We start from the raw sequence: 15,157 nt of genomic DNA, 5'->3' as shown, positions 1-15,157 counted from the left end.
GCTGTATCCCCCAGTTGCTTACATGCCTCACCTCCACCAACAGCCATCAGCTTCACACAGCTGTGCACCAGCCCAGAACAGATGGACTAATTAAACCACTCAGCTCAATTCTAAAAGCAACACTCATCAGTGGACATGTAAAAAACGAAGGACCTCATTTTAAGTGTAAAGATGCAATTTGCAACTCAAGAAGCATGTCTTACTGGAGAGGTGTGTGGTGGTCAGAGAGGAGGAGTGTCTCCCTGCCCCCTTCCACCCCCAGGCCCAGGGGTTTCCTCCCTACTAGTCCCAGCTGTCTAGCCATCGCTGCAGCCACTGCAGCTTCCAGCCATGGGCCTGGCAAACAGTGGGGACTCATGAAATGCATGAGGAATCCAGAGAGGAAAGGCTAATGACACTGCAATAGTTCCTACCCCAAGGTGGCAAGGACATTTTAAGATAGAGTCCAGAGAGAAGGGGCAAGCTGGGAGTGGGCTCTCCAAATGGAGAAGGCAGCCCAGGGCACCCGCTGAAAACTTTCTTATCCTTAAGCCCTCTGAGGTCCACGCATGCCTCTTCTGACAACTGCTATTACAGTTCAGGTGTGCCCCGTCCCGCAGGGACTCTGTGGTGAAGCTGCATGGACAGGTGGTGGGTCTGTTTGAGAACAACTGCGAACGAGGTGCCCTTTCCCTGTTTGAGTTAATTCCCTGGGACACAGGGCTCAACTCAGGATGTTTACAACCACTCACATGGCACCTTCCTCGCTGGCCTTTGTTCTGCTATGCTCCACTGTTTCTGTGACCACCTACCGTCCACCCAACTGCAACAACAAACAGCAGCTGGGGCAGGGGCCAAGGCTGGGATGGGATGTGCATGGCCTCCCTCAGCCCCATCAGCCCCATCCTGACACCAGCAGCTGCGAAGGGCTTGCTCATTGCCTCTCCGTTCACACTGCAGTTCCTGCCTGGGGGCTCAGACGCTGCAAGGCAGCAACTGGACAGGAGAATCCCCACCCCATGCTCCTCTCTCTTCCATCAAGCCTGGCTGGCAGCCTCTGCCTGTGACTATCACAAAGCAGAGGGAGGAAACAGGGGCTTGGTTCATTTCCACGCCAATCCTGGTCCACTCTGTGGGAAACCCCTCCATGGAAAAGTCCCACGACAGCAGTCTTAGGTTCCCTGAGGGCCCAGGCAAGGCTTAGGACCAAGACTCCAAAACAACTAAGTTGGCTGGTAGAGCTGGGGGCACAGAGGCACCCCTGCCTGTTCTTCAGCGTGGCCTCCAAGTTTCAGCCCGGTGCACAGCCTCCTGCCTCACTCCACCTGAGCAAGCGCCCCACGAGCCCTCACTGCAGACTCTGTGCCACCTTCTTTGTTAGGTTATGTAACATTCCTAAGGATTCTCTCCTCTCCCCATCCCCTGCACTCTCTCTCTCCCTGAGGGGTGAGTGGGGAGGAGGCTTCCTGTCCCATCTGAGCACACTTCTGGCACACACCAAAGGGCCACTGGCTCCAGAAACATGTGCTCCGTGAAGCCAAGGGCTTGGTTTTGTGCACAGCTATCTCCCCAGTGGTACAACAGCAGCTGGCACACAGTAGGCACTCTATAAATCACCTGACTGAATGGCTGAATGGCTGAAATGAATGATACTGTCTTACCGCTGCTGGGATGAGGCTCTGCATTTCTGGCTTTCTGGGATCTCTGGGCTCTGTCTATTGAGCTCCAGGAATCCTGCCAGGTGACAATTCCTGAAATTCCTGACAATGTTCTCTCAGCACTGCTCCCCTCCTTCTCATAGTTGTGTCTCTCAAAATGTATAAGTGTGAGTAGTGTGTGTGTGTGTGTGTGCGCAAGCATGTGTGCACACACTAATTGTGCAGTGCAGACAATGAATATCAGAAGAGTTCAAGTATGGGAGAAAATTACCTAAGCTCAGAGACTTAAAAGGATCTGAGTTGAGAGATTAAGTACAATTAATTGATCTACTGCCTACCTCCCTCCCCCAGCCAATGACTGAGGTTCTAGGGGAGAAAGGAGACAAAGCAGTGAGCAGGAAAACGAGATGCTTTGCTCGAATTGAGGGAATGGAGAATGCACCATGGGTCATGGAGAAAGGGCTGGCAGTGCAAAGACCCTCACCTGACTCCCCGGCCCCTGTCCTGCAAGAACCAGCCATCCCTCTGCCCATTTACTCACCACTGTTCCAAGGAATGAGGCATCAAGGCCACTGATCTGCTCCAGCCTATCCCTCCCCACCTCACTTGGCTCTCTTCCATGGAGAATGTGGAAGGAAAGATTGCAGATGCCTGTACACACTTCCCTCCCCACCCCACACCCCCACACCCAGACAGACACATGGGCATGGGTGTTTTCATCTGAATCTGCCATGGGACAGCTGGCTGCTAGTCGGGAGTGGCTGCTGCAGGTACACAGTGCTATGTTTATTGGATTTTCCTGTGCAGTAATTACTATCCAAGAGACTCGAGACACACTCCTGGGAGTCAGGCCCAGGGATCAAAGTGGGGATGAGAGCAGGAAGAAAGAGAAAAAACAAGGTCTGGGAGACGGCGGGGTCGGAGGGTGGGGGTCTGAGGTCTTTCACAAGTCCAGCCTAAGTACCACAGCCCATTAGAATGACAGCTTCAACATCTGGCTCTGCCATTAGCGACCTCTGGCGGGACCCTTAGTTTCCTGAGCTGCAAAATGCCGGAGTTATCCACATAAGCTGAATGGAGCTTGATTTCTCTACGGGGTCAAGTCAGACTAAATAAAGCATGGAGACAGGCTGCCTTATATCCTGACACATGAACCAGGAGCCAGAACCTGGGGCAAAAGATGGAGACAAAAAAACCTCCAAACCCCTGTCATTTCTCTCCTCGCCTCCCAACCAGATCCTCAGTCAGCCACAGTTGGGGTTCTCATGTCCACGGGAGACCACGCTCAGCCCCTCCTGGTGGGGTAGAAAGAAGACTACACTGAAGACCAGAAGGAAGGCTGATGCCTGCCTTAACATTAACTTTGTGCCCACGACTACCCCAGCCTCTCTAGTTCCATTTCCCCATCAAAGAAGGGATAACTCTCTTCCTCCCACCAGCCCTGGTCTAACATGGCAAGCTTCTGGCCAGGTGGACCTGTGATGCCCTGGGGACAGGTAGGAGAAGAAACGTAGAAAGTGCCCTCACTTCAAGGACATGAAGAAAATGGAGGGGGAGGGGGCGGGGGCGAGTGCTGAGCAAGAAATACTGAGTGACTGCCTGATGCCAAGTACCAAGGATGATGTGAAAGAATGTGGCTAGAGGATACAAGGCAGGAGACAATGAGAGAGAAGTCCTGGAAGAGCTGAACCTTGAACTTGGACAGGTCGTGGTGGTCACGTAGCACTCTCTGAAGGAAGGATTCCCTACAACAGGGCTCCTCCCTGAGTTGGCTGTTTCCCTTGGTACGTGCCTCAAGAAGGTACATCACAAGGTCTGGATTACACAGTACAGTTAGTAAGAGTGGCGGGAAAAAGAGAGAGGAACATGGCTTCTCTGCAGACATGTAAGGTGCCTCCCCTCCGCTGCCCTCCCAGCCCAGCAATTCTAAGTCTCTGCTCCTCAAGGGGATGTGTCACTCCAACAAGTGCATGGTGGTGTGCTGGAAGGTATCTGAAGCCACAAGATAAACACGACAGTTCTTCTGGGAGTCTGTTTTACCCCCTGGTAAGTAATGTTGAACATGCTTAGGAGCAAATGCTAAATTCAAATAGTTTTTAGGAAAAAACATAAGTCTTTAAAATATGTTATGCCTGCTCTGGCAGGCCCCCAGTCTTGCATCTGGGAAGCTGTGACTGCTCCAGAGAAATCAAGCAGATGGGGAGGAGAGCAGGAAAGAAAGCAGATGTGGTTAAGCAATGACCTTAAGCCCCGAGGAAAAGAAAGTAGCAAGCACCTGATAGGACAGCCTTGCCCCCTGTGAGACGCAGCCTCGGGAATTAGCAAACCAGGCACAGCTCCATGCTGGCTCCAGCTCAGCTTCCCAGACAGCAGCACTCCACGCCAAGCCCGAGCCCCAGCGCCCAGCTGGCAGGGCACGAGGGGAATACCAACTCCCGCACACACAACCCGCTTAACAGCCGGACAACCATCACCAGCCAGACTGAGCGTGGCTGTTGAGGTCTGAGCCAAGAGTGGAGTGAGGGGGAAGGAAAGCTGACAAAACCCTAGACAGAAGTCAGATGCCCTACAGACACCCCAGAGCAACAAGTTACAGGGCCTGGACCGGGGAGAAAACCAGCAGAGAAGTGTTTGTGTGTTCCTATAGGTGCACATAAAGGAATAGGGAGGAAGAGTCAGAAAAGCAAAAAATTTTTTTAAAAAAAGGAAAATATATATCCATATAGAAAGGAGAAAGGGGAAAAGAGGCCAAAAGAAGGCCAGGCCAGGCACGGTGGCGCATGCCTGTAATCCCAGGACTTTGGGAGGCCAAGGCAGGTGAATTGCTTGAGCCCAGGAGTCCAAGACCAGCCGGGGCAACATGGCAAAACCTGGTCTCTATAAAAAAAATACAAAACTTAGCTGAGCGTGGTGGTACGCGCCTACTGGGGAGGCTGAGCTGGGAGGATGGCTTCAGCCCGGGAGGTCAAGTCTGCAATGAACCGAGATTGTGACACTGCACTGCAGCCTGGGCAACAGAGTGAGACCTCATCTCAAAAACAAAAAGGGCCATGCAATGGGGCGGTGCAGGGGGAGTCCTGGACTCAGGATTGGGAAAAGGGAATAGAAACCTAATAAGGGGAGAGAAAAGAAGGAGACAGGAGAGAACCTCAGAGAGAAGGATAGGCACCCTTCCAAAATGGGGAATGGGGAGGGAGGGGCACAAAAAGACCCCCCTGAAAGACTAGAAGGCACACGCCCACAGCCACGCTTATAACACACACACCAAGCCTGGCAGCTTCCAGCATTTTCTGAACCAGGCTATTTAGGGATGAGAGCAACTTGGAAGACTCAACTCCACATTTCCCAGAAGATTCAATTGAAGCCCAGAGAAGGGCAGTGACTTGCCAAAGGCCCCACAGCTATTTGATGTCAGAGCCTGGACTCAAAGCTGGGTCTTCTGACATTTAGTCCTACAAATTCCACTGCACTGCACCCTGTACTTTTTTTTTTTTTTTTTTTGAGACAGAGTTTTGCTCTTGTAGCCCAAGCTGGAGTGCGATGGCGTGATCTCGGCTCACTGCAACCTCCACCTCCTGGGTTCAAGTGATTCTCCTGCCTCAGCCTCCCAAGTAGCTGTGATTACAGGTATGCACCACCACACTCAGCTAATTTTGTATTTTTAGTAGAGATGGGGTTTCTCCATGTTGGTTAGGCTGGTCTTGAACTCCCGACCTCAGGTAATCCGCCTGCCTTGGCTTCCCAAAGTGCTGGGATTATAGGTGTGAGCCACTGTGCCCAGCCTGCACCCTGTACTTCTTAAGGGTCAGAGCAAAACACCCATGGCCTGGGGCTCACTCCCATGCCCAAAACCTTCTTCAGGTTCATCCTTACAAGAACCAAGGGATCCTCACCCAGTAAACAGTTGCTGAGTGAACAAGCATACCACTTCTCCCCCTCCAGCTTTCTCCTGAACAAACTTGTCTAGATGAAAAACAACACTAGGAGAATGGTGTCTCACATTTAAATTGTATTTCCTATTTTATAAAGAACTTTCATTTACCCGATCCTTATCACAGACCTGGAAAGAAGGCAGAACGCATATCGCTGTCCCATTTCACAGCTGAGGAAACAGAGTCAGAGTGACCGACTTGCCCGGTGTCACAGGGCTAGTGAGCAGCGCAGCTAACTAACTAGTTAGCAGTCAGCCCGGGCCCCCTCCTAAGCCCAAGGCTTTCTCCCTTATTCCACACACCTGCAAAGACACCTCAACACTGGAGCAGCTTCTTCTCTCACCCCAGATGCTCCCTGTTCCCCTCACCTGCCTTTTAAAGGGAAAAGCAGGGTGGCCTGTGCACTCCTGACCTTCCTGGTCACCCCAACCCCAAGCCCTGTCCCCATCCTAGCCACCAACCCTTCGTGGGCAGGGAAGGAAGTAGAGCTGGAAAGGATGAGAGATGGGTGCCTCAGCAGGGCCCATTTGAGGGAGGCAAGCTCTGGCTGGCTACCTGCTGTTTCACAGTGACAAGGATAAAGAAGGTAGCATGGCCCCGTGCCACCTACTCGTTCCTCGGCAGACAGCACCAGAAAGCAAAGTTCCCAGCACCACTTCTGCCCATCCCTGGGTGTGTCTCATTCACAGACCCACAGACACGGACTGGACACACTTAGGAAAACTGCGAGAGCTGTCAACGCAGGGCTCTGTGGAGCTGACACGGGGGCTCCCCATGCCCTGATGATTACAGGCAAGTTTAGAAGTCTAGGAGCAGGAGTGAATGAACTGGAGGGCAGGAGCTGGGTTCTTGGAGATCTCCTTTTCTAACAGTGGTTCGTGACAGCTGCCGCCTAGAGTGGCCTACATGGGCCACAGCCCAGAGTTCTGAACCTTGGGCTACTCCAGAAAGATTGCACCCTGACTCTAATTTCAAACTCACACCCAGATATTCCTGAGTCCAACTTAATCTACTTTGGCTCCATAATTCACCTACTTGTCCACACTATTTTAAAAGCTATCTAACATTTCAGTTTCTATTTCCTCTTACAGGAATAAATTCAACACAGCGAGGCAACTACATGGAATAGTCCATCCTTCTGTCTTAAGGTTAACTCTTTCAAGCTCCAAGGTGCTTCCCTGCCCCAGTTTTAATTTGAGCACATCGAAATTCACAGGATATTCTCATTGGCACTTTTATTGACTCTAGACATCATGTTTCCAAACTTGAGTCCTGAAGTTGAATCTCCATAGTCTGTCTTCAGCCACTACTCCTGACCCCATTTCACTCAGGCACCCTGCGCTGCATGTTTTCCAGGCCGCTCAGGGACAGCAGCAGGCCTTTCACCTCCACAGGCAGTTCTGGGGGCCCACTCCATAGGTGGCTGCCTGCAGGGAAAGCCAGGGCACTGTGAGCGCGTGGTATTGTGCTCCGAGGTCTTTGCCACCAAATGTGAACTCGACCGCCTCTGTGAAGCTTTTCTCAACCTTTCCAGGAAGAATGGAGGGGCTTTCCCTCCATGCATATAGTCTGTGTTTGTGGCACTGTTCACCTGACATTGTAATCGCTGGGCTAAGTGTCTGCCTTCTCCTCACACACTGAGCTCCTTGAGGATGCAGTTATCCATCTGCGTATTCTCAAAGCACATAGTAAATGCCCAGTAATGTCTGTTACATGGACCCAGGTGGAGACAACAACTAAGTCAAAGCTCCTCTGCCCATTTCTGCCACCTACAAGCCTCATAAGCACTCCCTACAATAAGCCTCCATCAGCTTGGCAGAACTGCTGTCATCTTCAGATATGGAAATTCCAAAGTGCCTTGTCTTCATTTAATAGGCTTTTTACTTTGCCAGTCACACAGAGCACAGCTGGTCAAGGCAAGCACACTTTTGGACCAACTATGAACTAGAATTAACCAATGGCTAAGATCTCACCTACTGCCTGGTGAGCAACCTTTTCTGTTCAGTTAGTATCTGAATGAATCTGGAAGTATGAGGCCACACACACACACACACACACACCCTCTACAGCACACACCACTTGGCTAAGACTTATTATCCTAGTTTCACTCAGTGCTTTGTCAAAATATGAATCTCCTTCAATGCTCTCTAATCACAGGCAGAACAAACTTGAGGTCATCAACTTATAAATCAGTTATGTCCCAAAAATTCACTCGAAAAGTAACCATTTAGAACTCAGACTAAAGAGGAAGAGGATTACACTGGAGTGGGTGCCATAAAAGCTCGCTTAACCTGCAGGGTAGTAACAGGGCTTATGACTCAGGCAATAATAGCTACATTAAAGATTTAGAAGACCTTTATAGGCCTGGGCCCCCTCAGAAGCCAAGGCATAGACAGCTTGACCCACTGATTCTACCTTTGCATGGTGGGCAGCAGAGGCGTCTAGTGGTAATGTCCTGGGTTGGGGGTAAAGCTCATGGTTCTTGCTGCAGACCCACCACAGGCAAACCCACTGGGTAACCTTGAAAATCACCTTGCCTCTCGGGGTATCAAGGCCACCCTCTGTAAGACAGGAAGGCCCCCTCTGCCACTCACCTCCCTCTGGGAAGACAGAAGAAAGAAACACATGGAAATAGAAGAAAGTGAAAGCTCTACGGAAAAAGGGAAGAAATGGGGCTGGGCTGGGAAGAAAGGGGTGGAAAGCCAGACACCACTCTTCCAGTCCAGAGGTGACCTCGAAGTATCACTAGATGGAATCTTTCCATCGCATCCTCTCTCCCAGATTATTAATCAAGAGACAGTTCCTGTCCCCACCAATCAAAGCCCCAAGTGCCCCTCTGCCCAGCAGCCACCATGGCACATGGCCCCAGCACATACCCACAGTCCACCCAGCAGATGGTCCCTTGTCCTTTCACCGCCTGGGCCACTGTGGACAGTAACCTGAGATGATTTTCAGCTGCCACCTCTGTAAAAAAAAAACAAAAAATTAAACATCTGTGACCAAGGGCACTGGGTCATGTCTGCTATCTTCCCTCAGGGGTGAGGAAGGATGGAGACCAATCCTAGAGGGGGTGGAGAAGTCCTGAGCACCAGGTAAAACACCCATCCCTGCATTCAACAGTGCCAGGGCCTGTGCTGCAAGAATGGTCCTGGCTCTTCTCAGAAACCCCTGATCCCACCATACTCAGGGGCCTTCCTCTTGGACACAGAACCCCCAAGTCACCCTGCCTTAATCCACACCTCACACCTTACTATTCCAAGAATCTCTCAGCCAGATCCTCAAGGCCAGTAAAGTCTCCGACTCATGTCTTTCTGGGATACATTTTGACAATTCCATAAACAATGACAATCCTATAACTAAAGCAGGGAATGATGTTGCTGACTCCACATTCATCTGTCCTGATGCCCCACCTAGGAGCTGACGAGAGCTAGGATCAGATCCTTCCTTTACTTGTGCAGCACACGCTCATCTAGGAGCTCAGTACAACCTGATGATAAAATGAGGTCTATAAGTGACACTAGGCTCTGATGGGCCAATGCCAAAGACACCTAAGCCACATTTAACAGCCCACTTCCCCAGAAGCCACGGGGCAAGAGCTGGTCCTGGTAGCACCTCCAGGGGTCAATTGCAGGAATGTGGACCATGCCTTGGGACAGGATGGAGTGATCACAAGAAAGGAAGACTTTCTCATTGGTGCAGATGTCAATCCTGATGGGTCAGGGCAAGGCACCCGGATACTACTGTGGGAGGGCAGGGTCTTAGGGACAGAGCCTCTGTGGCCAGGATTTCAGCACTGCCAGCCTGCAATGATCCACTGCAAAGTGGCTGTGGCCAGTGTTTGATTCCTGTGGCCAGCAGGCTCCTGAGTCACGTTCTCCTAGGCGACACCTGTGAGCTCACTTGAAAGGCCTGCCAGACAAAGACTTGTGGGGAGAGCGATCTGCTGCTTTCTCCCGCCAAAAACCATATGATACATCCCCAAGCCAAGCAGAAATGATGTCTGAATTATGTGCCTCCGCAGATCGCCTTTTCTAGTGTGGATAATGGTAGCTGTTTGTGAATACAGAGCATGCTGAGCCTTTCACAGAAGCAAACAAAAGTATCGCTCAAGAGACATGCATGGAGTCACTCGGAGAAGGCACTCCCAGGAAACCACAGCCAGGGTGACAGGAGGAGGGCGAGCCACTGATGTGGGGAAAGCCATTGTTCTACTGCTGGGACTGGGTTCTGGGAAGCAGGGGAGGGGGAGAAATAAACTACAGCAAGATAAAGTACCCCCTGCCCTAACCTGCATTTTAGCCATGGAAAGGGAGGCACTGCTTGGAAGGATGGGAGGGAGCAAAGAAAATCCAGTTTCTGCACTGTTCAAAAGCCCCACTGAAGGTCACATGTCTCTCGTGCAGCAGGCCTAGGCAAGGAGGCAGGAAGTTAAAATAATTGCCCAGGCCCCATCAGGCAATGAAAGCAGGAGGTAGGCTGACAAGTGGGAAGCACCAGGGGCTCTACTCTCAATGGCTCAAGACAGGGTCGGGTGAGGGAAAGAGAGCTTAGGTGCTACCTCCTGCCCTGCAAGCGCCTGACAACAGGGCCCCACCTTTCCACTCTCTAACTTCCCATAATGATTTTCCGGCCTCAGCCCCAACCTGATCTCAAAGCCCTTCTGTCATTGCAGAATCAATACTCTCTTCCCATCCTCCATCAGAGAAAATGAGAGACAGCGGGGCATAGGGGACCAGCTCCCACCTGCTGCTGGAAGATCTCAAACAAGTCCGCTACTCCCAGCTTCCATTTCCTCATTTGTATACTGGATGTCCTCTGACAACCTGCACTGCCTCCCTCACAGCAAAGGAGCCAATGAGACTGTATTATGATGAGCTTATATGATGGGATCTACCCTAGGGAAGGAATGGAGCGTGTCTATCACTGACAGTCCTCCTAGTTCCAACTCCGGGAGTATCCAAGGCAGCAAGCCACACGTTTTCAGGGCCCTATGCCCCAGGCCTCAAGAGGACACTGCTTCCCCTTTCCCTTGATTTCGCCCCTATTCCTGACAGCAGAGGAATGCTAGTCACATGCTGGGCTCCCAACAATGCACTCGGGGCATGTGTGCCAGAAGGGGAAGCAGCAGCCGCAAGTGGCAATGAACACATCCCACGTGCCAGGGATGCCTGGAGGATGCAGGCACGTCTGGAGCCTCTATCATCCCCCAGGTGCCAGTGAGTGCTGAGGCCGAGCTGCCGGGGAAAACTTTGCCCGGAACTGGCCAGCCACTGGCTGCTGCTTCTCCAGGGCCACAGAAAACTTGGCATCCTTAGAAGCAGCAAAAAACACTTAACTCTGCTGGAACAACTTCAACAGAGTCAGCGTTCACCCTCCCCCAAAGTCACTGCCAAGAGCCAAGCAAACCTCTCTCCATCTGCTATGTCCTTGCCAGCCTCAAGGTCAGAAGAGAGGCAGGCCGCTGCTCCTGCCCCCAAGAAATGCTGTGACCCAAGCTTAGAGCCCACTCCAAATTCAGTCTTGCATCTGACCCCAGAGCAGGACAGATGGACTGGGCAGGGCCAGGGCTGCCAGCTGGGGTGAGTACTTCCAAGCCTGGGACCCATTCAGCTGGCAACAGGCCGGCCTGGCCAGTTAATCAACAGCTCTGGTGAAGCATGCCCTGGCAGGGCTCGGCCCCATGCCTGTGCAGGAAGCCAGGACATCCATGCCCAGTGTCCGCCACTGTGATCCTCTGTCCTACTTCACACACGCCCTCTCCCTCTTGAGGAGTGAGGGGCTCCAGAGGACTTTCCCAACAAACAGTCATAAAAAAGAAATGGAACCACCCCCTCGGATCAGAAAGTGGCAGAGCCAATGCCTCTGTGTGCCTCTGCCTCTGTCTTCTGAGGAAAGGTGACAAACCCCATGTCCCTTGGACCCTCCCTAAGTGGTTTTCATCCTAACGTCTCCTGCCTCCCACTCCTTCCCCTGAATCCCATCCTACCCCGATGGTTGACCTCAAGGCCAGGAAGGGACACTCACCAGATTTGGAGTAAAGCACCAGTACATTATTCCGGGTTCTGAGCAGTTTTTTCAAGTCCTTGGGGTCAGAGATTCTCTCAATGAGCGAGGAGACCTTTGCAGAGGACAGCCATGATGGCAGGACCACCTGGGGATCAAGGAGCCAACGACTGTGAGTTCCAGCTTCTGGCTGGGCCCCAGAAGAATCGGTGCCCATGGATGTGCTGCCTAGAGCTGCTTTACTTCCAGAGGATGAGGGCAAACCAACACATCTCATGCACCACACCTACTTCTTCACCTCTAGGGACACTCCCCAGCCCACTCCCAGTCTCCCTTCCCCTCCAGGCACTTTTATAAGGCTGTATGGACTGCAGATATATACAGTCAGCCCTCTATCTCGCAGGTTCCGCATCCACAGATTTGACCAACCATGGATGGAAAACATTTGAAAAACATAAAAAATAACGGGATAACAGTAAAAAATAATAGCAATAAAACCAATACAGTATAACAACTACTTACTTAGCATTTATATTGTATTTGGTATCATAAAAAATCTAGAGATGATTTAAAGTATACAGGAAGTCATGCATAGGTTAGATGCAAATACCATGCCATTTTATATAAAGGACTTGAGCATCCATGGGTTTTGGTATCCTGTGGAGGCGGGATGCTGGAACCAATCCCTCAAGGATACCAAGGGAGGTTTGTATAAACATTCTGCATTGTTACACATCAGTCGAGAGCCCCCTGGGAGGTCAATGTCTGTCCATATTCCTCATGTTACCACAATGCCATATGCTGGGGCAAAGTAAAAACTCCATCCCATCTAGAAGCACCAAAGCATAAAATACACAGAGAAATAAGATCATCCCTTAATGCTTAGGATGGGAATGGATGGGTGAGAGGTTTTTAGCTTTTCTTACTCAGCCAAGTGATCTCAGGAGGTCAGTCAACAAGAAATGAGCCAATTCTCCCCCAGAGAACCCTGGAAAACTTCGGGAACTGGAGGTATCAGGCACCTCTGCAGGCACAATGAAGGGTGGGCTAAAAGCAATGGGTGGGGGTTTATTAAAAGTGTGAATAAGGAGTAGACACAAAGCAGATCCCCTTGCCCAGATTGCACAGCTGGGCAACAGCCCCTTGCCCACCTGTCAGAAAGCAAGAGGGTTACTATATGGAGAGATTGAGTAAGAAAAGTTCCACTGGGAGATAACCCGGCAGAGGGTGGGAGGATGGCCCTCAGAAAAGACAGGGGGATTCAAAGAAAGTCTACAAACTGAACCTTGAGATCACTCATTCCTCCAAGCTCCCAGCCCCCAGCATCTCCCTTCCCTTCTCTGGAATGCCACCTGCCAGTCTTATTCCCCAGGCAACAGATTAGAGAATTTCCCTCTGGGGAAACTGAGGAGCATAAGAAAAACAACCTAAAGACAGTGATTTGGAGATCCTCAATTGAAACAGCTGGGTTCCTGCTCAAATCTCCACTGTGAGGCTCTCCCAGTAAACAAGCACTCTCCACTCCCTCCACACACTCACAGAGCTGCCAGTCAATGTGCTAGTGCCTTGCTCTTCAAAACAGACAGATAATCAAGGTTCACCGGTTACAAAAGACAGAGACCAGAACAAACCAATGGAAAGATGAAATGTAGAAGAAAAAGAAAATTAAAAGAACAGAAGAAAACAAGAAAATTATTATTCTCAGAGAAATAAAATGGTGCATCCATAAAATAAGAATAGAATGTTATGAAGAAAAATAAATACTCAGAGAATCGTGAAAATCTCTTGGAAAGTAAAACTATCACAGAAATAATTAGGGTTGGAAGTAGAATTGAAAAAAAAAAATCTCCTAGAAAATACAACAAAAAGATCAAGAAATAAAAAAGGACTTAAGAAAAATAAGAGAATGGACCCATTAAGCACAAGAACCAAATTAAAGAGACTCCAGAAAAAGAAAAAGAAAAAAAAAAGAGGAAAATCAATTATCAAAAAATTAATTTGAAGCCTGGCACAACGTCTCATGCCTGCAGTTCCAACTACTTAGCAGGCTGAGGCAGGAGAATCACTTGAGCCCAGGAGTTCATGGCCAGCCTGGGCAACAGTGAGACTCAATCTCTAAAAAAGCAAATAAATTAAAATAATAGTTGAAGAAAATGTTCCAAAACTGAAGGATATGAGTCTTCAGTTGGCAGGGCCCAGCATCATGAATAAAAAGACTCTTACCAAAATACATCACTGAAAACTTTCAGAACACTGCTGACAAAGGGGAGACCCTAACCATTTCAAAGAAAAAATAAATACAACATACAAAAGATCAGGAGTCAGAATTGGCATAAGACTTCATCAGCACACAAAAGACAATCAAGCATTGGCTTCACAATTCTCAAGGAAAATGATTTCTAACTGGAATTCTGTAACCAGCCAAACTACCAATCATGAAAATAGACTTGAACAGATGAAAATATCAGATGTATAACATTTACCACCAGCGCACCCTTTCTCAGAAAGATACTGGGACCCGTCTTCCACTACAACAAAAAATAAATGAAAAATTAGACATGGAAACTAGGAAACAAAGAATTCAATGAAAGAGAGAGGCAAAAGGATTACCACATTGATGGTGAAGAGAAATCCCAGGATGACAACTGTTCAACAGCCTGCAGAGCAACCAGACCAGAACAGAGCAACGACGGAGCTCATGGAGGAACATGGTCAATAAAAAGGGGCAACCATAGCTTATTTGATATGCTTGGTCATACTGAGAGGAGTGTTAATTTCTGCCAGAAAAAATTTTTTTAAAAATAATCTGACCAAAATTACATAGCTAGTAAGTAGAGCCAGGATCTGAATCCCAGTCTTTCTAATATGAGTCACGCCTTCTCAGCCTCCTGCCTTTTTGCAGTCAGAAGTCTTGGATTGAGTCTGAGCCTCATCACTCAATAGCTAAGATGCCTAGCCAATGTCACTCAACCTTTTACAGGCTTAGTGACTCCTGTCTGACATACAGATAATGATACTTCCCTCGTGGGATTGATATGAGGATGAAATGGGATAATTTATTGAACGTGTTTTATAAATCAGAAAGCACTCTGAGAGTATCAGTTACCATAATATATAACACAAACTTCCATCTCAGCAGAGAAGAAGACTGAAACATTACCATATTCTAGTGTTTCTAAATATAATCTGCCATTGGAATTCAAAGTTTCCCTCTTCCCAGAGTAAACCCATCCAGGAGGAAGCCAAGGAATGATTTCTCCCTCATCACACCCTGCAGAGCAGGGTAAAATGTCTGAGGACCCGCTGCCCTTATGCAAGCCACCTTAAGAGCTCACCAAAAAGTCTGCTAAACTTTATTATTATTACATGTTATCCTACTACTCCCAGGGAGCTAACGGACTTCAGACTGAAAACTCCACAGCTCAATGCACATGATTAAAGGGAAAAAAAATAATCTGTTGGAAAAACACATTGCCTCACTGCTGTTTTTAATCCTCAGATAATCTGACCAGCGGAGAGCAACAACTGCTCTTGCCCAGGGCCTCAGGACTCTGACCTGTAGTCCAGCCCCTCCTGAGGCTGGTA

At 49.5% G+C, this 15,157-nt stretch overlaps 1 protein-coding gene across 4 annotated transcripts in view, besides 1 other annotated feature; it reads right to left on the bottom strand.

Moving 5' to 3' along the window:
• Positions 1-15,157, bottom strand: part of PDIA5 (protein disulfide isomerase family A member 5) — a 95,080-nt gene that overhangs the window by 61,217 nt on the left and 18,706 nt on the right. For all 4 annotated transcript variants that reach the window (NR_028444.2, XR_007095629.1, XR_007095630.1 and 1 more), the window contains exons 2-3: positions 11,594-11,720; positions 8,446-8,533 (exon numbers count right to left, since the gene is read on the bottom strand). Coding sequence is in view for 1 of the 4 variants with exons in the window: in NM_006810.4 (NP_006801.1) it covers positions 8,446-8,533; positions 11,594-11,720 (215 nt within the window). In the remaining 3 variants the exon portion in view is untranslated. The remainder of the gene's footprint in view (positions 1-8,445; positions 8,534-11,593; positions 11,721-15,157) is intronic.
• Positions 1,089-1,810: an enhancer, noted in NCBI's record as "H3K27ac-H3K4me1 hESC enhancer chr3:122817925-122818646 (GRCh37/hg19 assembly coordinates)". NCBI's record gives its function as "activates a minimal SCP1, AML or CMV promoter by ChIP-STARR-seq in primed H9 embryonic stem cells {active_cell/tissue: H9 hESC(primed)}" and the evidence as "EXISTENCE:reporter gene assay evidence [ECO:0000049][PMID:30033119]".

The sequence above is a fragment of the Homo sapiens genome, chromosome 3 (assembly GCF_000001405.40).
Source record: "Homo sapiens chromosome 3, GRCh38.p14 Primary Assembly".
NCBI classification, from domain to species: domain Eukaryota; kingdom Metazoa; phylum Chordata; class Mammalia; order Primates; family Hominidae; genus Homo; species Homo sapiens.
The sequence above is the reverse complement of the archived record's forward strand: the minus strand, read 5'-3'. Positions and strand labels throughout refer to the sequence as shown.